Source organism: Homo sapiens, chromosome 10 (genome assembly GCF_000001405.40).
Source record: "Homo sapiens chromosome 10, GRCh38.p14 Primary Assembly".
NCBI lineage: Eukaryota > Metazoa > Chordata > Mammalia > Primates > Hominidae > Homo > Homo sapiens.
The window spans coordinates 92,682,593-92,709,922 of NC_000010.11; the positions used below are offsets into that span (position 1 = coordinate 92,682,593).

The 27,330-nt window shown below is 44.2% G+C and overlaps 1 protein-coding gene across 1 annotated transcript, besides 6 other annotated features; it reads left to right on the forward strand.

Annotated features, from left to right (window-relative positions):
* Positions 6,854 to 7,093: a silencer, noted in NCBI's record as "silent region_2620". NCBI's record gives its function as "represses an Ori minimal core promoter by ATAC-STARR-seq in GM12878 lymphoblastoid cells {active_cell/tissue: GM12878}" and the evidence as "EXISTENCE:reporter gene assay evidence [ECO:0000049][PMID:35858748]".
* Positions 7,164 to 7,483: a silencer, noted in NCBI's record as "silent region_2621". NCBI's record gives its function as "represses an Ori minimal core promoter by ATAC-STARR-seq in GM12878 lymphoblastoid cells {active_cell/tissue: GM12878}" and the evidence as "EXISTENCE:reporter gene assay evidence [ECO:0000049][PMID:35858748]".
* HHEX (hematopoietically expressed homeobox) lies at positions 7,363 to 13,055 on the forward strand. Its single transcript, NM_002729.5, has 4 exons — positions 7,363 to 7,755; positions 9,776 to 9,954; positions 10,110 to 10,160; positions 11,955 to 13,055. Exons 1-4 carry the CDS (start codon positions 7,395 to 7,397, stop codon positions 12,174 to 12,176), a joined length of 813 nt encoding a protein of 270 aa, NP_002720.1. The 5' UTR covers positions 7,363 to 7,394; the 3' UTR covers positions 12,177 to 13,055.
* Positions 7,904 to 7,983: a silencer, noted in NCBI's record as "silent region_2622". NCBI's record gives its function as "represses an Ori minimal core promoter by ATAC-STARR-seq in GM12878 lymphoblastoid cells {active_cell/tissue: GM12878}" and the evidence as "EXISTENCE:reporter gene assay evidence [ECO:0000049][PMID:35858748]".
* Positions 7,994 to 8,143: a silencer, noted in NCBI's record as "silent region_2623". NCBI's record gives its function as "represses an Ori minimal core promoter by ATAC-STARR-seq in GM12878 lymphoblastoid cells {active_cell/tissue: GM12878}" and the evidence as "EXISTENCE:reporter gene assay evidence [ECO:0000049][PMID:35858748]".
* Positions 8,674 to 9,481: an enhancer, noted in NCBI's record as "H3K4me1 hESC enhancer chr10:94451023-94451830 (GRCh37/hg19 assembly coordinates)". NCBI's record gives its function as "activates a minimal SCP1, AML or CMV promoter by ChIP-STARR-seq in primed H9 embryonic stem cells {active_cell/tissue: H9 hESC(primed)}" and the evidence as "EXISTENCE:reporter gene assay evidence [ECO:0000049][PMID:30033119]".
* Positions 9,799 to 9,800: a mitotic recombination region, noted in NCBI's record as "NUP98-HHEX recombination region recombines with sequences within the NUP98 intron 13 (HHEX) recombination sub-region within the nucleoporin 98kDa recombination region". NCBI's record gives the evidence for it as "EXISTENCE:nucleotide sequencing assay evidence [ECO:0000219][PMID:18388181]".
* Positions 13,056 to 27,330: the final 14,275 nt, after the last annotated feature.

The window sequence follows — 27,330 nt, forward strand, 5'->3', positions numbered from 1 at the left end:
TCTAGATAAATTACAAATGAGAACTACCTTCTCTTCTTACAAATTTGGTCTTTTGCACAACAGCAATGGCTAAAATAAATGGGGCCAAATTTTTGGAGAAAGTCTTGTTTAATTCAGAATATAATTAAAATCTCATGGAGCTTTATTGGTTTTAGTATCCAGCAGAGAAAAAATATTGAAACTCCGAGAGATTTTGAATTAAATAGCTACAACAGTTTTGTTTTATTAGTTCTGACTGTGCGAAAAAAAATCATAAGGACAACTTTGGAAAAATCTAGTTCTTTTAGGGCCCCAAATGACTTTTAAAACAATAAAACAAACTATAAAACGTACACAAGTGATATTAAAAATTATGTAGTTCAATAAATGTGACATTCACAAATGTGGTTGTAATTTTTTTTTTTAACTTTAGCTAAGTGAACATGGATCTGACGATTGGATGTAGAAAAGGTAGTGTTATATAGCTTAACAGAATTAAGTGCTTCAGTTTGCCAGTGAGGATTATGTAGCTGAGTTGGAATGTTTTACCAATGCCTTTTAAGATCTCCATCTACTTCCCAGGATCTGTGGCTAAATCAAAGAAAGAGAGGATGCTTCTTTTATTAGTGATTATTTAATAACTCTATGCTAGTGATTATTTCCCTAGCATTTTAATATATATATTTAAAATATTTGTAGATTTAGATCTTTTGGCTGGTGGCTGAATCATGCACAGAATAAACCAGTACCATAAACTAATACTGTTTCTGAAGATGGGTAATAAAGGCTGGCTAGTGATTTACTGTGAAAGCACTAAATGAATTGGAGTCATCATCTGTTACTCGCAGAGTAGAAGGGGCAGGAAAAAGGTGCACAATGAAAACAAAGGGGAAACATTTTGTGAGAAAAATAATTAGCACAGTTTTCTGCTTAGTTTACTGAGGTCCCAATCTTTCAAGACCCAAACATAACTTGTGAAGGTAGGTTTGAACTTCATATAATAACTGTTCTTTCTTTGTCCCCAGAGCTTGTCTCTGTCCTTGGAACACAGAAGAGCACATTGAATTCATCAGGCCATGGGATGAGAATGATGACGGTGGAGATGGCACAACACTGGAGCTGACCCACAGAGGGATCAATGATTCCCAAATAACCCTTCACTGATAGTTTCCAGGGGCAAGGCACTACCTGAAATTGTATGCAATCTTCAGAAATCATTCAAAACATTATGCCTTTAAAAAAAATGGATGGTAGGCCGGGCGCGGTGGCTCATGCCTGTAATCCCAGCACTTTGGGAGGCCAAGATGGGCAGATCACAAGGTCAGGAGATCGAGACCATCCTGGCTAATATGGTGAAACCACTGTCTACTAAAAATACAAAAAAATTAGCCGGGTGTGGTGGCAGGCGCCTGTAGTCCCAACTACTCGGGAGGCTGAGGCAGGAGAATGGCGTGAATCCAGGAGGAGGAGCTTGCAATGAGCCAAGATCATGCCACTGCACTCCAGCCTGGGCGACAGAGCAAGAATCCGTCTCACACACACACACAAAAAAAGTATGGTAAAAAGGAATTTGAGATTAAAAAAAGAAACAGTGTTTTCATTTTTTCTCATTTTTATATTGAAAACTTTCAAATCTACAGGAATTATGGTAATTTAATTGCTATGTGTAATTATAAAAAAGCTAAAATTAGAGTACAACAAATACTTGTATACTCTGAAATTATAGTACAACAAACACCTGTATACTCTTCACCTAAATTCACCAATTAATAATTTTCGATACAGGCATACCTCATTTTATTGTGCTTCACTTCATTGTGCTTTGCAGATATTGCAGTTTTTACAAATTGAAGGTTTGTGACGCCCCTGCATCAAGCAAGTCTATTGGCACCATTTTCCCAAGAACATGTGCCCACTTCATGTCTTTGTGTCACATTTGGGTAATTCTCATAATATTTATTGTTATATCTGTAATGATGATCTGTGATCAGTGGTCTTTGATGTTACTATTGTAATCGTTTTGGGGCACCACAAACTGCACCCATATAAGACAGCTAACTTAATAAATGTCGTGTGTTCTGACTGTCCTACTCACAGGCTGTTCCCCAGTCTCTTTCCTTCTCTCCTTGGGCCTCCTTATTCCTTGAGAGACAACAATATTGAAATTGGGCAAATTAATAACCCTACAACAGCCCCTAAGTGTTCAAGGAAAAGCAAGAATTGCATGTCTCTTTCAATCAAAAGCCAGAAATGATTAAGCTCAGCAAGGAGGCCATGTAGAAAGTTAAGATCCACTAAAAGTTAGACAGCGCTGTGAACACAAAGGAAGAGTTCTTGAAGGAAATTTAAGGTGGTACTCCAATGAACAAATGAATGCTAAAAAGTGAAACAGCCTTATTGATGATCTGGAGAAAGTGCAAGTGGTCTGGATAGAAGATCTAACCAGCCACAACATTCCCTTACACGAAAGCCTAATCCAGAGCAAGGCCCCAACTCTCTTCAATTCTATGAAGGCTGAGAAAGGTGAGGAAGCTGCAGAAGAAACGGTGGATGTTAGATGAGGTTGGTTCACGAGGTTTAAGGAAGGAGGCCATCACCATAAGTGCAAAGTGAAGCAGAAAATGTTAATAGAAAAGGTGCAGCAAGTTACCCAGAAGATCTAGCTAAGATCATTGATGAACGTAGCTACACTAAACTGATTCTACACGTAGACCAAAAAGCCTTCTATTGGAAGAAGATGCCATCTAGGACTTTCATAGCTAGTGAGAAGTCAATGCTGGCTTCAGAGTTTCAAAGGACAGTCTGACTCTCTTGTTAGGTGCTAATGCAGCTGACATTTAAGTTTAAAGCAATGCTTATTGGCCATTCTGAAAATCCTAGGGCCCTTAAGAACTATGCTACATCTACTCTGCCTGTGCCCTATAAATAAAATAACAAAGCCTGGATGGCAGCACATCATTTTACTGTGTGGTTTACTGAACACTTTAAGCCTACTGTTGAGATCTACTGCCCAGGAAAAAAATATGCCTTTCAAATTATTACTGATCATTGACAATGCACCTGGTCACCCAAGAGCTATGATGGAGATATACAAAGAGATGAATGTTGTTTTCATGCTTGCTAACACAACATCCATTCTGCAGCCCATGAATCAAAGAGTGATTTTGATTTTCAAATCTTATTATTTAAGAAATATATTTTGTAAGGCTATAGCTGCCATAGATAGTGATTCCTCTGTGGGCAAAGTCAAGTAAAACCCTTCCAGAAAGGATTCACCATTCCAGAGGCCATGATTCATGGGAGGAGGTAAAAATATCATTAACAGAAGTTTGGAAGAAGTTGATTCCAGCCCTCACAGATGACTTTGAGGGGTTCAAGATTTCAGTGGAGAAAGTAATTGCATATGTGCTGGAAACAGCAAGAGAAATAGAAGTGGAGCCTGAAGATGTGACTGAATTGCTGCAATCTCATGATACAACTTGAATGGATGAGGAGTTACTTCTTATGGATGAGCAAAGAAAGTGGTTTTTTGAGATGGAATCTACTTCTGGTGAATATGCTGTGAACATTATTGAAATGACAACAAAGGATTTAGAATATTACATAGCTGGATGTAATGGCTCATGCCTGTAATCCCAACATTTAGGGAGGCAGAGGCAGGAGCATAGCTTGAGCCCGGTAGATCGAGACATGCCTGGGCAATGAATGGAGCGAGACTCCATTCTCTACAAAAAGGAAAAAAGAAAAAAAAAAAAGGACAAAAAAGAGAGACTATTACACAACCATACTTGATAGAGCAGCACAGGGTTTGAGAAAATGAACTCCAATTTTGAAAGTTCTACTGTGGATAAAAATGCTATCAAACATCACCACATGCTACAGAGAAATCTTTTATGAACGGAGGGGTCAACAGATGTGGCAAACTTCATGGTTGTCTTTAAGGAATTGCCACAGCCACCCCAACCTTCTGTGCCTCCCACCCTGATCAGTTAGCACTCATCCACATCAAGGCAACACCCCTCAAAAGCAAAAAGATTATGACTTGCTGAAGGCTCAGATGATTGTCAGCAATTTTTTTTTTTTGAGATGGAGTCTCACTCTATTGCCCAGGCTGGTAGTGTAGTGGCATGATCTCAGCTCACTGCAACCTCTGCCTCCCGGGTTCAAGCACTTTCCAGCTAATTTTTGTATTTTTAGTAGATACAGGGTTTTACCATATTGGCAGGCCGGTCTTCAACTCATGACCTCAAGTGATCCGCCAGCCTTGGCCTCCCAAAGTGCTAGGATTACAGGCATGAGCTACCACTCCCTGCCAATCGTTAGCAATTTTTTAGTAACAAAGTATTTTTAAATTAAGGTATGTACGTTGCTTTTTAAGACATAATGCCATTGCACACTGAATGTAGTAAAGTGTAAAGATAACCTCCTTTACATGCACTGGGAAACCAAATAATTCATGTGACTTGCTTTATTGCTATGTTTATTTATTGAAGTGGTCTAGAACTGAACCTGTGATATATCCCTCTTTATATATACATATATGAACATATACATAGATATGTGTGTATAAATATACATGTAGATGTGTATGCACATATATGTATATACTGAAGTATTTAAAAGTAAGCTGCACATATGACCCATCACTCCTAAAGACTTTAGCTTGCAACTCCCAAGATCGCATTTTCCAAAGTAACCTGCAATACCAATCACATCTAAAAGATTAATAATGTCAACTAACATATACTTCATAGTTTGTCCCCATTATCCCCCCCCCCAATAAAAAGCAATGTCTTTTATAGTTTTTTTTTTTTTTTTTTTTTTGAGACAGAGTCTGGCTCTGTCACCCAGGCTAGAGTGCAGTGGGGCGATCTCGGCTCACTGCAAGCTCCGCCTCCCGGGTTCACGCCATTCTCCTGCCTCAGCCTCCTGAGTAGCTGAGACTACAGGCGCCCACCACCACGCCTGGCTAATTTTTTGTATTTTTAGTAGAGACGGGGTTTCACCGTGTTAGCCAGGATGGTCTCGATCTCCTGACCTCGTGATCCGTCCGCCTCTGCCTCCGAAAGTGCTGGGATTACAGGCGTAAGCCACCGCGCCCGGCTCCTTTATAGTTTTTTAAAATCCAGAATCCAGTTAATTGGGATGATATGAGGCCTTGTGAAAATCCTCATCCTCAACATTTCACGTGTTAGTTGATGATGATTCTTCTTGAATTATTACGTTTTTCGATTGTACCAATTTTTCTACATCTGTTAGCTGACATTCTTCCAGCTTTCACATCCACTGCACCTTTCTCTCTCTGAGTACCACTATGGACTCACGAATTGTTATATTCAAAGTGGTATAATCCCTAATGTATTTTTAAAGCTTAAATCACCCCAAATTTTGCCGATGGAAACCACTCCAAGGTGGTCCCTATTTTCTTTTCACGGTTTCTGACACAAGATGTCTTTGAGCTTACCTTGTACTTTTCTTGCCCTAGATCTAGAATCAGCCACTTCTTCAAGGACTTACTTATACGACGAATAGGTCATACATCCATCTAGTGCAAGTCTCCAGATATTCACAGCTATACATGCCCCCTCCAATCCCACCCCTTTCTTCATAGTCAGCCAATGTTCGTTATCCTTCCAGAGATAGTTTATATCATGGAGTAATATAAAAATTTATGATTTATATGTACTGTATAATAGAGCAATTATATTCTTACCTACCCCCAACATGCTTTAACTCGAATGATAGTGTAGTACACTTCTGAGTTTGTCTGGGCTTGTAGCTCTTGTCTGTCATTAGATTCTGAAAGATACCTATTAACAATACCCTAAAAAGATCAGGAGCCTTTAGGCCAAGTCTCAAACGTTTCAGATGAGAAAAACTCAGGGATGGTGACTTGACGGAAGTTGCATTAACTAACAACGCTCACATGCTATTCTCCGGACTTGGAATGTCCAAGCACCCTGGGCTTGCTGACACCCACTCACTTTTCAAACATCAATTCTTGGGAAGCTTTTCCCTTCCTTAATGTCCCCCAGATAGGTGATGTCCCCTTGTTACAGGTTTTAGACCATTATGTACATCTCCTTCCTAGCACATACATATATTAAAATTTGTTTCCTGTCTCCATGAGGAGAGGGACTACATCTGTCCTTTTCACTGCTGGCACACAGTAGTTGCTCAACAAAAATGTGCGAAGTGAAACTCGAACAGGCGGTCAGGCTCACAGTCCACGCCTCTTCCTACTGTGGTCCCGCTGTGTTTGGACAAATAGTTCCAAATTATAAACTTTAAAACCTGAGAAGTCTCAATAGAAAAAGCAGGGAAGTCTTTCCATTTCCATGATTAATGGAGGACCTTAGCAGAAACGGCTCACCGCGAGGTGTGACGACCGCAGGAGGGCGTCAATCAAGAAAATGCCCCCTTGCCCCGGAGGCGAGTGGAGCCGCACAGAGCCGAGGCCATACGGGCCAGCAGTACGGACTGCTTCAATAGAAAACACGTGCAAAACCAGAGAGCCAGACTGCGCACAGCTGCGACCCTCAAGAGCCAGCAGAAAAGACACGGAGCGGCCCCCACTGGATTGAAGACTGCACAGCCTCTGCCCGGCGCTGTAGGACCCGGGCCTCCCCTTGATTGCTGCTCGCAGCGGCTTCTGCCAGCATCCTCGCGGAAGTGGCTTGAGTCCGAGGCCTCCAAATGAAACCAGGTGGAGCGGCCAAGAGTCCGCAGCACCTGAACTCCAGCCATCCGAATCCCGCCGGGCCGCAGCTAAGGGCCGCCGAGCAGCCCTAGGAACCCAGGGCACTGTCCCGCTCTGAGCTCGGGAAACGGCCGGTGTGACAGCCAGCGCCACTGTTAATCCAGGGAGCGCACCCACCGAGGAGGCGTCTTAGGCCAGCGGCCTCTGCTCCCGCCGAGTCCCGCTGCTCCCCGCCTGGAAACAGCTGCTGCCACCCCGGGCCCAGGCCTGGACGGCGCCCCCGAATTTCGGCAGAGGTGCCTCGGGGCCGCGGACAGGGCCGCTGGAGCCCGCACTCCAGAAGGCGGTCTTCCTCGCGCCTCCCCCGACGGACGCGGCCCAGGGCTTCCCTCGAGGGCGTCCTCGGCCGGGGTGCCTGGAGTCCCCAGGGGCGACAGCCGCGGCGGGGCACCAGGGCGCCAGTTCCCCGGAGCCTGGTAGCAAGCGCGTCCCGGGGGCGGGGAGCTTGGCCGGCGGGGCGGGCCGGGGTGGGGGCGGGCGGCTGCTCTTGGGGCCCCGCGCCATTGGCCGCAGGGCCCGGCGGCAGGAAGGGGCCAGCGAGCGCGGCCCCACCCCGCGGCCGGCGGAGCCTATCGCCGGGAGCGCGGAGCGCGGATAAATGTAGCGCCGCGGCGCGGGCCAGCAGCTCTGCGAGGGGCCGGAGCGCGGCGGAGCCATGCAGTACCCGCACCCCGGGCCGGCGGCGGGCGCCGTGGGGGTGCCGCTGTACGCGCCCACGCCGCTGCTGCAACCCGCACACCCGACGCCCTTTTACATCGAGGACATCCTGGGCCGCGGGCCCGCCGCGCCCACGCCCGCCCCCACGCTGCCGTCCCCCAACTCCTCCTTCACCAGCCTCGTGTCCCCCTACCGGACCCCGGTGTACGAGCCCACGCCGATCCATCCAGCCTTCTCGCACCACTCCGCCGCCGCGCTGGCCGCTGCCTACGGACCCGGCGGCTTCGGGGGCCCTCTGTACCCCTTCCCGCGGACGGTGAACGACTACACGCACGCCCTGCTCCGCCACGACCCCCTGGGTAAGGCGGCCGGGCGAGGGTGGGGGCGAGGAAGCGCCACCCGGCAGGTGGCAGCGCCCGGGAGGCCGAGGGGGCGAAGGGGGCAGGCGGTAGACGGCTGTGGCAAAAGCGATGGAAAAGCAGCTGTCGGGCACGCGCGGGGACGGGAGGCGCGCGGCCGGGGCTGACCGCACCGTGACTCAGATTGGTTTTCCTGCACCTTGCAGGCGTCGGGGCGCGCGGGCCGGCGGTAGACCTCGCGGCGAGGGCAGCCGTGGACCGCGCGTGTTACCCGGGGTGGGGCTCCCTTAGCGGGAGGGACGGGGAAAGGGGCGTCGAGGCGCCCCTGGCCGGCCCCCGTGGGGCAGGGATCGCAGCCGGGCCCGGGTGGCTACGGGGCTGGACCTGGTTCAACAGGCTTGTGCAGTGAAAGAGCCTGACCCTTTCCGTTCATACAGGAAATCTTGAGTTCTCGATAGGAGTAAATCTGGTTTCAGAAGCTGTTAAGTGTTTTCCTGGCTGCATGAAGCAGACCCTTCCCCCGGAGTAGTGCACGCTGCTGATTATTTTATCGACATCCTCAATACAGACAAATTCAGGAAACACTCGACTTCTGATAGCCGGGATCCGTTTTTCTGATATTGTTCATTTCCTCTGTGTGGGATGTGACTTTATGGCAGCTAAAATAACCAGTTGCTTCCTATTTTTTTTCGAGGCTGTTTTGCACCAGTCTGAAGCCTGACGCAAGCAAAATCTCGAAAAAACAATGCTAGCTTTCAAAGCGTTGAGGTGCAGGCCTGCAGACGGACGGACGGACCGACCGACACTACTTTGGGAGTAGGAAGCAGCAGCTCCTGGTCGCCAGTTAGGAAGGGAAGCAGGGACACATAGGGCATATATTCCAGAACTTCGGGGCTTGTCCCCTCAATGTGCGGCCTAACAAATAAGCCGCCCGTGGTCCGCGCTGTGGGTGACCCTTGGCGCCTTCGAGGTCTGGAGCCCTAGGGTAAATAAGGAAACGGGGCGCCTCTAGAGTTTTAAATGAACTCTGTTATTGGAAGCTTCAGTAGGGACCCTGAAAACAATTAACGTCTTAATTAGCATTTTAATGTCTCCATTATTACGGCGCGGGCTCTAGCTCAGCCCTTTACCTTACCTTCTCACCGTTAACAGGGGAGGGGGATTGTATTTTTAGTTCATCTTTTTATGTTTTTGAGTTGTTATCCTGTCTGTCTGATTCCAGCCTCGAGGGTTTGATGATGCGGCCCGAGCCTGGCTGTGGTCGCCTGTCGGGGCTGGAGCGGGACCCTCAGCCGGGCCGGGCCTGGGGGCTAACGTTTTCACAGTGCGCCCTGAGTTTCCTTGGGTTACTGCTGGGACCGCGCAGGAGGAAGCAAAGAGTTTTTCGAGCTAGACCAACAGGAAACACATTGACGGAAATGTTGCCATAGCCCATGGGGTGGCTTTAACTGGCCGCCCCCGCGGGCTGGGTGTGAAATCAGAGGAGGCCGCGGCTCCCCCGGCCAGGATTGGAGGCTCCTCGCGCAACCTAATGCGGGTGTCCGGGCCCGAGCGCTTCCCGCGCAGCCAGGCCTTGTCGGTGCAGCAGCCCCGCTCCTCCCCAACACGCACACACCCGGTGTTCGCAAGTGCGGCTCACCAAGGGAGATCCAAGGGGGCAAAAAGTTATGTATAAATCCGAGAGCCACTGGGGAAAGAGGGTCGTGGTATTGTAAGCCCAGCCGGTAGTGCCCATTCTTTTTGGGGTTAAAGGTATGTCTGGATTTAGTTCTAGGTGTGACGGCTGTGTGTCTGTCTGTGTGTGTACAAGGCTGTGTGCATCTGCGGTGTCAGTGTGTGACTTTGGGTATGTTTGTGTGTCGGTGGGAACGTGTTAGGTCCACGTGCCGGTGGGTGTATGTGAATGTGTCTGGTTGGGTGGCCTCCTGGCCTACCTTTGTCATCCCTGGGGCCCGACAGCTCTGGGGTCTGGCCAGGCCGCTCCAGGGCAGTGGGTGAGCGCCGCTCTTCCCGCTCGCAGGCAAACCTCTACTCTGGAGCCCCTTCTTGCAGAGGCCTCTGCATAAAAGGAAAGGCGGCCAGGTGAGATTCTCCAACGACCAGACCATCGAGCTGGAGAAGAAATTCGAGACGCAGAAATATCTCTCTCCGCCCGAGAGGAAGCGTCTGGCCAAGATGCTGCAGCTCAGCGAGAGACAGGTGAGCTCGCGGGGGGCCTGGGGCCGCCTCCGGGGAAGGGAAGGCTTCTGGGGTAGGGGTCGCCGGGCCACCGAGAGAGAGGCGAGGAGCCACCCTGCCCTCTGGCACGTCCCGACGCGGGCTCGTTGCAAGTTTTCTTTCTCTCTTTCCTGTAGGTCAAAACCTGGTTTCAGAATCGACGCGCTAAATGGAGGAGACTAAAACAGGTATGGACATGGTTCTGTTTCTATGGAAATAAATATTTTTATCACGTTATCTCAGTGCAAGGCTGTTATGGGTTGTATGCAAAAGTCATTTAAGAGACTATTTAACCTCTTCACCTTGATTAAAAAGACAAATAGTCCTGCTGAAATTCAGGATGAGTTGCTCAGGTGGCAGTAATGCTAAAAGCACCTAATGGGGTTCCTATATCAATTATGCTTGGGTTTTCACACACTGGCTAGTAAAACTCCCAGCTAATTGTTTTATAAATCCCATATGTTGTTTATCTAATTAACGCAGGAAAGATAAAGTAATTGACAGTAAATGACTTAAGCAGTTATCTTTGGGAGAAAATTGTTTCTTTTATTTACACAGCCATAATAAAACCAGGCAGAACTCAAGGGTAAATATAAAGAAACAAACACCTTTAAGTCTTGTTTGCACTGTTTTTTAGAAGAATTAAATGTCAGGGAGTTTAAAAATTATTTTCTATCTAATGCCAGCTCTTAAAATGAAATATAAAACTTGTAAGAAAATATTCAAGCCTGTTTGGAAAGTAGCTTAAACTTTCTGACAGTCTTTCTTCCAGTGACCTTGTTTCGCAATATGTGATAAAAAGTAAAGGCTAATTTAGTTTTTAAAAGAAGGTCTATTGACTTAAAGCTAAACATTCATTTTTGATGTCCTAATCTGGATATACTCTCCAAAGTTATCTGATAATTGCTGAATTGTTCACTTGTCATTGTATATACGGTTTATAATAAATACTTTGAAACAATGAGTGGAGAAATTTAAAGCAAAGTGGATTTTAAAATTTATTGATCATTACTTTTTCATTAAAAAGAAAGTGTCCCAAAGAATATTTTGAAATAGAAAATAAAATTCCCATAACTTCATTACTGTAATGTGATTTAAATATTTGCAGATCCACTCTCAATTTCTGACCGTGTGCATCTATTTGTTGAGACTATAAGGCTTGCAACTATATAACAAATAGATGTTGTAATATTTCTATGTAGTATTTATATGCATTTTAGACAAGTATAGGATTAAAAATTCACTAGCTTATATACTTAATAGTTCTTGGTCAAAGGCTTGACTCTAGTTTACCAGAGACCTTAAAAATAGTGGTTTCTATGTAATATGGGGATATTTCCCAGAAATTTGCCCCAGATTTTAAGTAAATTGTAGCTAATTGTCTACCTTCTCAGTTGGCAGCATTCTTCCAGATCCACATTTTTTTTCTTTGCCATGATTTTGTAACTTGTTAAACATTTACACATGTAGATGTTTATAAATTTACTCCAGAAAATGAATGAAAAAAGATCCAGTCTAATAATTGAAACTTTATTCTTAATTCACCAGTTAGCATTCTTATTTTTAAAATGTCTGAAAGACTGTTAATTGGCAAGGTTTAAATATTTAAAGAATGAAGTTAAGGTGTATCTGTAGTGATCTGATTTTCTTTCCCCCTTAAACTTTTGAGAATATTGAAACCATGGGTCTGGGCTGGTGTTAAGTAACCAGAATTTGTGTTCAATTGGTATAATGTATCTGCCCTTATGTTCATGACTGGTTCTCATCTTTTAAGCATATAATCTTTGATATGACAGAAACTTTTCTTCCAAAGTGAGCAAAAAGCACAAGTATGTATCTCCTGAATAAGATTATAAACTGAAAACACTCAGTAAACTAAAAATTAAAAGATGGAATAGGATGAAGAGACATTTTGATTTATTCCTCTCACCTATCCATATTTTATGATCCTTCCAATCTCCATTTTCATTTCCTTTATTCAGGAGAACCCTCAAAGCAATAAAAAAGAAGAACTGGAAAGTTTGGACAGTTCCTGTGATCAGAGGCAAGATTTGCCCAGTGAACAGAATAAAGGTGCTTCTTTGGATAGCTCTCAATGTTCGCCCTCCCCTGCCTCCCAGGAAGACCTTGAATCAGAGATTTCAGAGGATTCTGATCAGGAAGTGGACATTGAGGGCGATAAAAGCTATTTTAATGCTGGATGATGACCACTGGCATTGGCATGTTCAGAAAACTGGATTTAGGAATAATGTTTTGCTACAGAAAATCTTCATAGAAGAACTGGAAGGCTATATAAGAAAGGGAATCAATTCTCTGGTATTCTGGAAACCTAAAAATATTTGGTGCACTGCTCAATTAACAAACCTACATGGAGACCTTAATTTTGACTTAACAAATAGTTTATGTACTGCTCTTAGGTTGTTTTGATAAAGTGACATTATAGTGATTAAATTCTTCCCCCTTTAAAAAAACAGTTAGTGGTTTTCACTATTTATAAAAAATTAATTTTGAACTTTTTGTTAAATTTTTAAGTTATAGCTTTAAAGGTTTTAATAGGACCTTCTTGAACGACTTTTCTGTAATCTGTTTATCTCCCACTTAATGGAAAGGCAAAGGGGTACCCCAAATCCAGAGGTGCCTACATTTCAGGCAGCCTTGGAGTATTTTAAAAGGAAAACATTCTTTACTTTTATATGACATTCTTATACTGCTGTCTCAAATCCAAAAACATTTCAGAGCTCTTGTCTCAGAGATGTGTGTTCTTTTTGTCAGAGATATGGTTGATGAGAATCTTAAATGCTTGTTTTGCACTATCACTTAGTACCTGTTTGACCAAGGTGTTAAGGGGATAGTACCTCCCAATTCAAGCAGAGAAACTGACCTGACTAAAGTTAATCGCAGATGAACTAGAAGTCACAGGTTAATTAAATGTAAGTAGATTGTAGATACTGTTTTATATCAAACAATGTTTATAATGTGTATATAGAATTGTTCACTGTAAAAAAAATGGCCAAAATGTGTTTTTTTTTTAATAAGTAACTTGACTATAAAATAAAGCCGTCCGTGGGACGACTGACCTCGTTGCAAGTCTAATTCTTTGATTTTAAAAAGTCTGCACACCTTTTCTTGACCTCCTGGGTGCTTGGCGCGGTGCTGGGCTCTGGGGACAGGAAGTGACTGGGGCTGGATCTTGCTGGGGCTCTCGTTCCGAGTCCCAGGACCGCGGGTGGGTGCCTGGAACGTGGGTTGGGGCCTCTCCCGGGCCGTTTGCCTTGGGGCTCTGCTCCTGCCGGCGGATTCTGAGCCTGATGGGTTCGAGTCCCGGGCACGCCAGGCGACGGGAAGAGCCGAGGCCCAGGCCCGCTGCGCCGTGAAGCGCGGGGCCGTCCGGACCCCATCGATTCTCCTCGGCAGCCGGGCTGGCCCTCGCCGTCCTTGACCGGCTGAGTCAACACCGCGTCATCCCTCGGCGGCCGGGGCTCGGGAACCCGCTCCGCGCGGCGGGGCCCGGGGTGGGGAAGTCCGAGTGGGGGGATGGGGGGCCCTGGCCGAGGGGAGCGGGGAGGTGGTTTGCGCTGAGAACTGTTCTCGAACCCGGGGAACTTCAGAACCTCCTTCAGGGCTTGTGGAAACCCAGCCCTGTTCCTGGAGTTCTGATCTGTTAGGACTGGACTGGGCTGGGACCGGGAATTTGTATTTCCAACAAGAGCTGAGGTGACGCCAAAGCTGCGGGCCCGGACACCACCCCTGGGGAACCACTGATGTGAGCGCACGGGGTGCGGAAGAAGCAGGTGGGACCGGCACTCCTCCTCCCACCTGCTTTCCCGGGTAACTTTGGCCAGCAAGAGGCTGGGGCGGAGGGCTGAGAGGAGGGAAAGGCGAGGGGGAACAGAGGAACGAGGGGCTTATCCAGGCTAGTGGGAGTGAGGTTTGATGGCTGAGCAGAGGGCGCAGGGTGGAGGAAGGGGCACCATGAAATGGAGGGAGAATGGGGTGCTGAGGTTAGGTGGGTGTGGGGGCCCAGGTTTCTGATTGTTCAGGGTATTGCTAGTCTGTGCCAGCTGCTTGCCTAGCTGAGCCATCAGGTCTCTGACATTCCAGGAAAACCATGACAGAGATCTGTTGGGGAGAGGCCTGGAAATCTCTCTCTAGCCTTGGCCTCCATGGAGGAGGCCTCTAGTTGTAGAGTTGGGTACTTCTGGCTAAGGACCTGTGAAGGAATGACCCGACCCCTGGCCTGGCTTCTAGGGCTGTGGCGCCCCCAGATATGGACACTCAGATGAAGACAGTGAAAAAGTCATTGCTGTTAGGGAGTTGTCACATCCGGCTTCCTTAGATTCTAAGAAGGCCCCTGGAATTGCAGGGGAATTAAGATTTCTGAGAAAAGCAGTACTAGTCCTTAAGCAGAGAGGTGTGGATAGACTTGGAAGTTTGAAGATTTGGGTTGGTGTTTTAGTTCTTGGCCTCAAATCATTTGTAGAACGAAGATGGTCTAGTTGAACCATATGAACCCCTTCCAGCTCTCAAATTCCCAACTCAGTTCATGCCGTCCTTATTGTTCTCCCTACTCCCCATGTCTCCTCAGCCTTGGCACCCAAAGTGGCCACCCAGTGGGAGAGTTTCCCTTCCCATCAGCTGTAGGCTCCAGACCCTGCCTAAAAGATTACATCAAGGTTTCAAAGGTCATAATCCATCTCGTCTGAAAATGGGACTGTCCATATCAGATTTTTGGAGAATGGGAGGCTTATGGATGTAATATTGAATTAAAGTAATCCTGAAACCTGTGTGTGTGTTTCGCTTCTGGAGATAAACCCTAGTTAATGTTTATTCTTGAGAGTAACTGTATCATGACTATTCAGCAGAGAAATACAGACTAATGTATTGATTCACACTAGAAAACTTGAGGGGTAAAATCTAGTTTTAAAGTTGACAATTCCCTGAAACCAGGCTGCTTTCCAATTTCAAGCTTATCCTAACTCTCACCAAGTTGCTCCCATTCTGAATCTAAACATGTCCTTAAGAATCAAGAGCATGTTAACTGGAGGAGGTGCAGTATTCTCAGGACACAGGTAGGCATTCACTTTTCTGAAGTACCCCATTGCAAATTGCCAATGAAGATTTAGAAATTCCTCCTACGATCCGGGCATTTTTCATTTGTTTGTCTTTTGGCTATTTCATGTTGAAGCAGCACGTATGACCTTTACAGCACAACTCCTGTCTTGTTTTTAACTCTTTTTATCAGGAGATTCAACTTGAAAACGGTTATCATTTAGCAGAAAGACAAACAGAAAAGCACATTTTTGTAAGCAAAACGTTAATGATTTGAAGAATTGCCCTAATTTCACCATGACAGTGTGTGATTAATCCCCTGGGTCGTGTACTTATACTTTAAGTTATTCAGTTCATTGGTCTTTGATATTCAGAACCCTTTCTAACTTAATATGATATTGATTTTGTTGGATGATGTACTTTGACTCTTTAAACAACATCACTTTTAGAGATGACTAGCCTACTGTGTAGTATTTTATTTAGAGAACTATTGCATAACATTTCTTTTTCTTACTTTTTATGGTTTTCTCAGGGTGAAAGCTGATAAGACATCTTGTGGGAAAAGAGGAAACCATCTCTGATAGTGAAAGTACCTTTTCTCTTTCAACTTTTCTGACAAGCTTTTGTGTGTGTGTGTGGTTTTCATTACTGTGAATATTCATCTTAGTTAATGGGGGCAGGACAGGGATTCAAGAAAACTTATTTGGACTTGGGGAAAACGCATTTTGCTGGGGACAGAAGAGACTTACTAAAATTCCCACTCCAGATATATTGGCATGTGGAAGCTGATGAACCCAAAAGCTCCTGATTTTGATTTTTTTTCAAGATCTAATAATCAATGATCCTTTAAATCTGTGATTGGAGATACTTATGTGACTACTTACAATATGGGGCAGAATGTGAATACCAAACAATCACCCAGGATGCTTCTAAATGATTGGGAGTTCAAGCCAGGCACTTTGGGAGACCAAGGTGGGCAGATCACCTGAGGTCAGGAGTTTGGGACAAGCCTGGCCAACATGGTGAAACCCTGTCTCTACTAAAACTACAAAATTAGCTGGGCGTGGTGGCACGTACCCGTAATCCCAGCTACTCAGTAGGCTGAGGCAGGAGAATCGCTTGAACCCAGGAGGCGGAGGTTGCAGTGAGCGGAGATCATGGCACTGCACTCCAGCCTGGGCGACAGCGTGAGACTGTGTCTCAAAAAAAGAAAAAAAGGCTGGGCGTGGTGGCTCATGCCTGTAATCCCAGCACTTTGGGAGGCCGAGCCGGGCGGATCACGAGGTCAGAAGATCAAGACCACCCTGGCTAACAAGGTGAAACCCCGTCTCTACTAAAAATACAAAAAATTAGCTGGGCATGGTGGCGGGCGCCTGTAGTCCCAGCTACTCGGGAGGCTGAGGCAGAATGGTGTGAACCTGGGAGGCAGAGCTTGCAGTGAGCCAAGATTGCACCACTGCACTCCAGCTGGGCGACAGAGCGAGGCTCCATCTCAAAAAAAAAAAAAAAAAAAAAAAAGAGAAAAAGAAAAAGAAAAAATAAATGATTAGGAGTTCAGTATTTTGTGGTCAAAGTAATCAGGTTGTACTGACATTTATTTTTCAGTCCATAGAGGTTTTAGGAAGTCCCAGTTGGGCTCTGTATATGTCTAATCTAATTTTGTCCCTTGATATGTATTTTTTGGTATTGTTGATAACTCCAAATAAGAAGCACTTTGGAGACTCCTCCCACTCACCCAAAGATCTGAGACCCCAGGTCTACAGAGGAGCAGCTACCCCTTCACATGTGGCTGTAGGAAAACCAGAATCACCCCGTTGTGGATACAAGCATGGCTAGCAGCAGGGGAGATGGAACTCTCTACCCCTCTCTTGCTGGCTGGGGCCCCGGGGGACACCCGCATCCTCAGCCTCCGGTCCCTCAGTTCCTAGAGCGGAGCGTGGCTCCCCCGAGAGGAGGCGGCGTCCCTGGCACGCCGTGGGCCCCGAGTGTCAGTCAGAAAAGCTAGACACCCCGAGTGATTCCCTTCTTTTGAGACAGCTCTTGGGTTCGCAGTTGCAGGCGGGAAACCTCTTCAGTCGGATGTACACAAATCTCTCTGGATAACACAGAGGGCTGCTGCGAGGGGACCTTGGAGCTGGCAGAGACATTTCCTGTCTGCGGAGGATCTTGACTTTGGAGCATCCGGCCGTCGCCGCGAGCGGCCGAACACTTTCCTGCGTCGCTGCTTTAAAAAAAAAAAAAAAAAAAAGTCACTGCCAATATCAGGCGACTTTCCACATGAAAGCCAATGAGGCCGCTTCCCACTTAAAAAACGTTTGTTTAAAACGTATTTTCTAAGCATTCCTTAGACTCCCTTTTATTTTGGAGGGGGAATTTGGTATCTTTGAAAAACCTTAAGTATTCAAAAATCTCATTCTCTCTGAAGACAACTTCTTAGATGAACAAGTACGGGAAACAGTTAACAGCAGAGGGTCCCTCCCCTGCTGCTCGCAGACGCTCGCAGTAAGATATGCTCATAATCTTGTTTATGTTTTTCTTTCATGGTTTATGCCCTTCCATCCTTCTTCTGCTCCCCACTTTTCCTTCCTTATTCATTCCCTTTCTCTTTTTTCCCCTTTCCCTTTTAGGATTCCTCATCTTCATTCAGTTTACTTCCCCATTTAGAATAGAAAATGACTAATCTCTACTCTTTAGATGTCACTATTGGGGCCAAGATTTTCTTTAAATTTATAGAAATGTTCAACTTTTAGCTGAGGTGAGAATCCTGTTTGAGGGAAATGTTGCTGGAGTCCTAATGCGTTGCTCCCATCCCGCCAGGGATAGTTTTTTTTTTTTTTAAGCCAAGATAAGCAATAATAATAACATAGTCCAGGTACAGTGGCTCATGCCTGTAATCGCAGCACTTTGGGAAGCCGAGGCAGGCAGATGGTTTGAGGTCAGGAGTTCAAGACCAGCCTGGCCAAAATGGTGAAACCCCGCCTCTGCTAAAACAAATACAAAAACTGGCAGAGTGTGGTGGCAGGCGCCTGTAATCCCAGCTACTCGGGAGGCTGAGGCAGGAGAATCACTTGAGCCACTGCACTCCAGCCTGGGCGACAAAGTGGGACTCCGTCTCAAAAAAAATAAAAAATAAAAAATAAAAAAATAAAATAACATAAATAGAAGAGTAATAATCCCTGTGTCTCTAGGGTCCAGGCGCTCAGTAGCACTGGAGTGTAATGGAGCTGACAGAGAGAGATGCTGCAATAAGGGATGGACAGCAGATGCTGTGGCAGAGTCTGCCAGGGACTCCCAACCAGAGAAAAGGAAAAGGAAGCCTGTTCCACGGAGAAGGATGATCCTGTACACAGGTCTGGAGGTGAAAGAGGGCAGGGAGTATGCATGACTGGACTCCAGAGATTTTGGATTTCAGAATTTTCAGTGAGGGATTGTGGACCTGTGTTCTCTCTACCCACCACACAGGTCTCTTTGTTTTTGCATTGGCACTTTCCTCTCTCTGGAACTCTCTTTCCCCCAAATATAGCCTCATGGCTTGCTCCCTCCTCTCCTTCAGACATGGCCTTCCCTTGCCACCTTTTTACAATGCCAACCTCCTCTTCCTATCCCCAACAACAATTTAATTTTCTCTATTTCACTTAATGCAATTGGATATAATATTTTTACTGCCTTATTTATTATGTGTCTCTCCTTATTGACATATGAACATCATGAGGGTAGGGATTTTTGTCTGTTATGTTCACTGTTATGTATCTTCAGCCTGACCTATTAGGTGCTTGTTAAACATATGTTAAATTAGTGAATTACTGAGCACGTACTATGTGCTGCTAAATATTATGTAAGTCTTTCACCTGCTTTATATCTTTATATCATTTAATCATCAAGGACCCTATGAGGTAGAGGCTGTTATCAACCCCATTTTCTAGATAAGGAAACTGTCACCGAGAAATTAAGCCCAAAACCTCAATTACTATACCGATCAATGTTGTAATGAGAACTTCCTCACTGAATCTGTTGCATTCTTGAAAAGGTATCAAATCAAGTCTAACTCTAGCTATAAGAAGAGAATTGAGGTTTTTTGCTCATCTTACCTAATCTTTTGCCTTGATTCAAATCTAGCATTACATCTGGAAGGGACTATGATACAGTATAAGGGATAAGCAATTTCTGTGTATGTAACATATTATTCTATTACATTAGGAAACTAATAAGCTGAGTGAAGTACCATTTCCCTCTCAGTTTTCTGGGGAAATGAGCATTATAAGATACACTTTCTATCTTTCAAAGCGTTAAAAAAAACAAGTTGGCCAGGTGTGGTGGCTCATGTCTGTAATCCCAGCACTTTGGGAGGCCGAGGCAGGCAGATCATGAGATCAAGAGATCGAGACCATCCTGGCCAACATGGTGAAATCTCATCTCCACTAAAAATACAAAAATTAGCCGAGCATGGTGTTGTACTCCTGTAATCCCAGCTACTCGGGAGGCTGAGGCAGGAGAATCGCTTGAACCTGGGAGGCGGAGGTTGCAGTAAGCTGAGATGGCGCCACTGCACTCCAGCCTGGTGACAGAGTGAGACTCCATCTCAAAAAAGAAAAAAAAAAAAAAAAAAAAAAAAAATATATATATATATATATATATATACATGAAAGTTTGCTTCTCATCTGGCCCATTGAGGCATGTTCCACAAGGGACTCTGAACATAGCAGTGTGATAGCTTACTATTTGTGTCCCCAGCATCCAGCAGTATGTTTGGCCTACAGTAAACTTTTAATAAATATCGTTCTACAGAATGAAAGTGAAAGCCATGTGCCCTCCCTGAAGGAGAGGAGAGCCATTTCCCTCCCTCCCCAAGCCCCGCACCCTCATTATACTTCCTATTCCTTGGCCACCAGAAACATAGCTTGCCTGGATGGCTTTGGCAGCACAGCAGAAAGCATAGTGGGCAGGGGCTGTAAGTGCTACAGAGACACTTGACAGGTGCCAACTTGGGCCACGGGTGAGGCGAGGACATATTTAGGTCTGTTTAAGCCTAAAAAAGCTCTAAAAGAAAATGTTCTCTTCCATCTTTTTACCAGCATAAATTTGAAGAGGAAGTGCTTCTGTGGTTTTATTGGCCATTTTTCCCTTTCAGACTTGGCAATTTCATTCAATTTCCAGTTCACACTTCTCAATTTCAATCAAGAGTTTTATTTAAAATATATCCAGTTTACTGAAAAAAAAAATGACACTATTTGGGATGGGCTGTGATCACTACTATTTTTATCAGCATCATCTATTCAGAAAATGGAAGCAGGAAATCCAAATTTTTTAAATGATTTCTGAAAGTATTTTATGAATTGCAAAGAAGTGTAGAAGGAAGAGAAAGTGTTTACTTTACATGCTCTTTCAAAGTTTCAACTTTCCTTAGCTGCTTATGGAAACTGCATTACTACAGACTTTCCATTAATTGTAGATTAGACCAGACTAATTCAATAAATGTTTAAAAAATGGACCCTGAGTGCAGGTTCAGACGTCCAGAGGAAATGACTTGATGGTACGGAGGTGGAAGGGAGTGAGAAGTTATGATGATGTATGGTGCTGTTGATCAGTTAATTGAAGGTAAAATTTTTAGCTTCACCAAGCAATTACCTGATCTCATTAAGGTCTTTAAAATCACCTAAGTACCATTTGCCTGAGGCAGCTGCCCCTTGTTTAGATGTTATTTCAGGCATTAAGAAAAACACAATGTTAATGGTGACCAGGGAATTTATGCATGCAGTTTCTAGTATATATTATTCTGAATCTTAGCCATTATTCAGTATTATCCACCTTGTATAAACATGGGGCACTAAAATATATTTACATTTTGTATATATTTACATTTCATATTTGTTTTACTTTTCAAATGTATTTTAAAGCATCATGTTTACAAGATAGTTTTTTTTACAAATAAAATTTGTTAAGAGATATGGATTGTCAATTTTTTTCAAGAAACTACTTATTAAAGTATAATATATATATTTTAAAAGCTCACAAATCATAGGCGTACAGCTTACAACATGACTACACTATGTAACTGGAATCCATATCTTGAAATAGAACATTACCAGATCCCAAGGAGCTCTCTTTATGCCCCCTCTAGTTCACTATCCCCAACCCCACTCCAAGGGACTCCACTAACCTGATTCCAAATGGCATAGATTCATTTGCCAATTTTTGAACTTTATGAAAGTAAAATCCCACAGTATTTTCTCTTTTATCTCCCATTCCTCCTCCATTCCTTTAGTTTTCAGGTTTTGTTTTGTTTTGTTTTGTTTTTGGAGACGGAGTCTTGCTCTGTCACCCAGGCTGGAGTGCAGTGGCGTGATCTGGGCTCACTGCAACCTCCGCCTCCCAGGTTCAAGCAGTTCTCTTGTCTCAGCCTCCCGAGTAGCTGGGATTACAGGCGTCTGCCACCACACCTGGCAAATTTTTGTATTTTTAGTAGAGATGGAGTTTCACCATGTTGGGCAGGCTGGTCTCGAAGTCCTGACCTCAAGTGGTCTACCTGCCTCAGCCTCCCAAAGTGCTGGGATTACAGGAGTAAGCCACCGTGCCCGGCTGCCCATTCCTTTAGTTTTTTTTGCTGGTAAATTCATCCACGTTATGGTGTGATGTTGTTTGTTTATCCTCAGTGCTGCAAAGTGGTCCATTGTATGAATTTTCATGTTAGTTTAAATAATGCATCTAAATATAAAAACTGTGCCATAAAATTTACATTTGAAAATGACACTGCTCACATTTTACTGGACTCCAAGACTCCTAGGTGGAGAGAAAGAAAGACAGCAGAAAGAGCAGGAGCATCAGGCTGTCAAGAAACAAATCACTGCAACCTTTCACATATCAGAAGGGCTGGGAATATCAGTAACCAATATCTCACTTATTTTTCCCACTCAGGTGGGTTAAATGAAAAAAATCACCGAGGCCGGGTGCGGTTGCTTATGCCTGTGATCCCAGCACTTTGGGAGGCTGAAGCAGTTGGATCACTTGAGGTCAGGAGTTCGAGACCAGCCTGGCCAACATGGTGACACCCATCTCTACTAAAACTACCAAACAACAACAACAATAACAACAACAACAAAACCCCTAAAAATTAGCTAGGCATGGTGGCAGGTACCTGTAATCCCAGCTACTCGGGAGGCTGAGGCAGGAGAATTGCTTGAACCTGGAGGGCAGAGGTTGCAGTGAACTGAGATCATGCCACTGCACTCCAGCCTGGGCAACAAAGCAAGAATCCATCTCCAAAAAGAAAAAAACAATTTCTAAAGACAACTTCAATTCTGGACATAGGTCTCCCTGTAGTTACAGTATTTTATTTCAGTAGTTTTAGGAATTTAGTTTGCATTCTATTCCACTTTCATTTTCCTGTTACTTTGATGTTTAAAATTATAAAGCTGCTATGGGATGATGTGCTGGATTTTATGTCTAGATTTGCTGTTAAGTAGCAATGTGACTCTGGAGATATCAATTACCTCTCTGTTTCCTCATCATAAAATGAGGCTCTTGGACCAGGTGATTTTTTTTTTTTTTTATTTTTTTTTATTTGAGATGGAGTCTCACTCTGTCACCCAGTCTGGAGTGTAGTGGCGCGATCTCGGCTCACTGCAACCTCCACCTCCCGGGTTCAAGAGATTCTCCTGCCTCAGCCTCCGGAGTAGCTGGGATTACAGGCACGCACCACCGCACCTGGCTAATATTTGTATTTTTTAGCAGAGATGAGGTTTCACCATGTTGGCCAGGCTGGTCTCAAACTCCTGACCTCAGATGATCCACCTGCCTTGGCCTCCCAAGTGCTGGGATTACAGGCGTGAGCCACCGCGCCCAGCCTAGGTCATTTTTAATGTTGCACTTAACACTAAGACGCTATGTTTTTCTGTTCTATATCTTTCTAAGCAACATATTCACCCCTAAACTTCAGTGGCTATGTGTTTTAGGTGTTGAGAGGAATGAAGAATCTTTTATTTCACCGGTCTTCTGGTGTTCACTCCCTGAGCAGGACTTGTCTTATACTTAAGCTCAGTTCTAAGGTTAAATCAAGGCTCAGTCTCTATCAAAGCCTATAAAAGCTCACCCTAGGGAAGTGTTCTTAGGGAAGCATTTCTAATATTTCCAGCTGTCCATATATTTTCAAACAAATAATAGGGTATTGAAGTAAACTCGAATGTTGATTATACGTTTTCTATCAAATTATTCAAGTATTCATTCAGAAAATATTTATTGAGCACCTACAATGTGGCACGTGGAAGCACTGGGGATATAAATTTGCATAAGGCTCAGTAGGATGACTTTGAAGACCAGAGAAAACATCCTTTTAATTTCCAACATTCAAGGATGAACCTATTTTCACCCTAAGCATAATTATAATTTTGCTTGCTATATAATAATTCCATGCTGTTTAAGTTCTTGAGTTTGTCTTGCAAAAGCTTTTGCCAAACAACCCATAGCAAAATATTTAATAACACATGGGCATTCCAAAGTCATAAATAAGAAACTAAGTGGACCTCCTTTTAGAGCATGTCCCCACAAATGCCCTCTTCTCTCCTCATTTCCATCCTGGGGTGAATGCCCACTTCACCTCCCACACAGTGTGGTTTAAATAACTATAAAATGTCTCCAACAGATGGTATTACCTGGCATCCCACACCCAGGACTGTCATCTCTCCCTCAACATTTCCTTCCTGTGGCATTGAGGCTGTGAATCTGCCCATCTCCCCTGGTTTTCTCCAGGTAACTCCACCTTGGGCAAGGTCTGCATTATATATATATCTATATTTACATGTATAAAAGTATATGTATATGTATTTTTAGAGGCAAGGTCTCGCTCTGTCACCCAGGCTGGAGTACAGTGGCATAATCATAGCTCACTGCAGCCTCCAACTCTTGGGTGCAAGGGATCCTTCCACCTCAGGCCCACAAGTAGCTGGGACTATAGGTGCATGCTACCACACTTGGCTAATTAAAAAAAAAAAATTTATAGAGGTAAGATCTCTATGTTGTCCAGGCTGGTCTCGAACTCCCGTCCTCAAGCAATCCTCCTGCCTTGGCCTCCCAAAATGCTTGGGATTACAAGCATGAGCTACCCTTTGGGCACATAATGTATTATTAGGTAGAGATGGCAAAATTTCTTAATTCTCTTGTTGGGTTAATGTTGTTTTGTTGTTATAAAATTTCTAAAATGAGAATGTTTTGCCTCCATTTCAGTTTAATTCCTTCTAGAGTATATTCATAGAAAATGAATCATTGAGCCAAAGGGATGAATATTTGATAAATATTGTGAAATACTTCCTGGGAAAGTTTTGTCAATTTATATCAGTGGAGAACAAGGATCATTTCTCCATATCTTCACCAATGGAAGTGCTGTTTTTCTAATCTTTCTTAATTATTTAGGAGAAGAATAGTATGCTGTATTTTAATTTTACATTTCATTCCTTTCATTATTCCCAAAGTTGAATTTTAAAAATATGCTGGCCAGGTGCTGTGGCTCACGCCTGAAATCCCAGCACTTTGGGAGGCCGAGGCGGGAGGATCACGAGGTCAGGAGATCCAGACCATCCTGGCTAACACAGTGAAACCCTATCTCTACTAAAAATACAAAAAATTAGCCAGGTGTGGTGGCACGTGGCTGTAGTCCCAACTACTTCGGAGGCTGAGGGAGGAGAATCACTTGAACCCGGGAGGTGGAGGTTGCAGTGAGCCAAGATCACGCCACTTCACTCCAGCCTGGGCAACAGAACGAGATTCTGTCTCAAAAATAAATTTAAAAAAATGCTAACCTTTTATTTCTTTTTCTATTTGAATTCTTTTATTTTTTATTATTTTTATTATTTTTTGAGACAGTTCAGTCTGTTGCCCAGACTGGAGTGCAGTGGTGCCATCTCGGCTCACTGCAACCTCCACCTCCCGGGTTCAACTGATTCTCCTGCCTCAGTCTCCCAAGTAGCTGGAACCACAGGTGTACACCCCCATGCCCGGCTAATTTTTTGTATTTTTAGTAGAGATGGGGTTTCACCATTTTGGTCAGGCTGGTCTCAAACTCCTGACCTCAGGTGATCCACCCGCCTCTGCCTCCCAAAGTGCTGAGATTACAGGCGGGAGCCACCATGCCCAGCTGATTTATTTGAATTCTTTATGTTGGAAGATATAAGCTTTTTGCCTTATTTATTGCAAAAATGTTTCTCAGTTATTTAAAAAGATATTTAGGAAAATGGAACATTTTTGTGTAGTCAAATGTAACAATATCTCTTTTATGATTTCTTTCTTTTCTCGTAAGCTTAGAAAGATTCCCTCATTCAGAAAGCAAATGAACATCCACATACATTAAACAAAAACCCTCCCCCTAAAACTCTTTCATCTCTCCCCCACCCCTCATTATTTTACATTTAATGCTTAATCTACCTGAAATTTATTTTGCTCCACAATATCAGGTGAAGAACTAAAATAAAAAATTACCCCTAAATACCTAACTAAGTGTTCCATTCATGCAATAATCATTCCTTTTTGCCCTTTTCCTGGATTAAATGTCTAAAAACACCTTGGTTTCTGGACTAATTGCAATGTTCTTTCAATTTTGTTTTTGTATTTTGTATATCTGTGGCTGGGCTTAAGGACTAGAATTTGTTTTCTGTAGCAGAAGGATGAGAGCTTCTGTTCATTCTTACATATAATCAGATTTCTCCTTCTTCGAAGGTTGAGTTGGCTTTTGAAACAAACAACAGCTAGCTTTCTCATCAGAGTCTACCATATCTGGGTTTTCCTATGCATGACTTTTTTTTTTTTTTTTTTTTTTTTTTTTGTGAGACTGAGCCTCTCTTTGTTGCCCAGGCTGGAGTGCAGTGGCGTCATCTCGGCTTACTGCAACCTCCGTCTCCCGGATTCAAGTGATTCTCCTGTCTCAGCCTACCGAGTAGCTGGGATTACAGGCGCCTGCCACCACGCCCGGCTAATTTTTGTATTTTTAGTAGAGATGCGGTTTCACCATATTGGTCAGGCTGGTCTCAAACTCCTGACCTCAGGTGATCCACTCGCCTCAGCCTCCTAGAGTGCTGGGATTACAGGCGTGAGCCACCGTGCCTGGCCTTCTGTTCATGACTCTTGCACTGCAGATGAAAGTGCTCTCAGAACCTACAGAGCACCAAACTCAAGAAACAGAACTTAGGAAGCTTTATGTGCATCATTGGCTGAATCCTCTGCATGGAGGAGCAAGTGCCCTGCCTGCTAGTCCATTTCTATTTTAAATTATAGTGTACCACTCCAGTGGTGTATTAGAAAAAGTCTTTAGATGGCCAGGCACAGTGACTCATACCTGTAATACCAGCACTTTGGGAGGCCAAGGCAGGCAGATCACCTGAAGTAGGGAGTTCGAGACCAGCCTGACCAACACGGAGAAACCACGTCTCTACTAAAAATACAAAATTAGCCGGGCATGGTGGCGCATGCCTGTAATCCCAGCTACTCGGGAGGCTGAGGCAGGAGAATCACTTGAACCTGCGAGGTGGAGGTTGCAGTGAGCCGAGATCGTGCCATTGCACTCCAGCCTGGGTGACAGAGCGAGACTCCATCTCAAAGAAAAAAAAAGAAAGAAAGAAAGAAAGAAAAAGTCTTTAGATTTAAAAAATAGCTAACACTTACTGGAGACTTATATTTTTTGCATTTTTTTCAAATCTTTATGAATGTCTTCAGTAAAGTTAAATATTTTCTTTATTTAATACATACTCATTAAAAATTTTCAAGTTTATTGAGGTGAAATATAACATAAAATTAGCCATTTTAAAGTGAACAATTCAGTGGCATTTAGTACATTCAAAATGTTGTGCAAACACCACCTTTATTTGTTCCAAAAGATTTTCTTTTCTTTTCCTTTTTTTTTTTTTTTTGATTTAGCTTTTGTTGCTCAGGCTGGAGTGCAGTGGTGTGATCTTGGCTCACTGCAACCTCCACCTGCTGGGTTCAAGCGATTCTCCTGCCTTAGCCTCCTGAATAGCTGGGATTACAGGCAAGTGCCACCACACCTGGCTAAGGTTTTGTATTTTTGGTAGAGATGGGGTTTCACCATGTTGGCCAGGATGGTCTCGAACTCCTGACCTCAGGTGATCTACCTGCCTCGGCCTCCCAAAGTTCAGGGATTACAGGCGGGAGCCACCATGCCCGGCCTGTTCCAAAACATTATCATCTTTCCAAAATAAAACTCTGTATCCATTAAGCAGTCACTCCCCATTCTCTCTTCTCCCCATTTTCTGGCAACCACCAATCTGCTTTCTGGATGGGTTTACTTATTCTAAATATTTCACACAAATG

Bases quoted from the DNA above. Each gene is read 5' to 3' on its own strand.
- HHEX (NM_002729.5), top strand. From the start codon at position 7,395: ATGCAGTACCCGCACCCCGGGCCGGCGGCGGGCGCCGTGGGGGTGCCG. The intron at 7,756-9,775 runs GTAAGGCGGCCG...TCCCGCTCGCAG, and splicing joins GCTCCGCCACGACCCCCTGG to GCAAACCTCTACTCTGGAGC. The intron at 10,161-11,954 runs GTATGGACATGG...TCCTTTATTCAG, and splicing joins AATGGAGGAGACTAAAACAG to GAGAACCCTCAAAGCAATAA.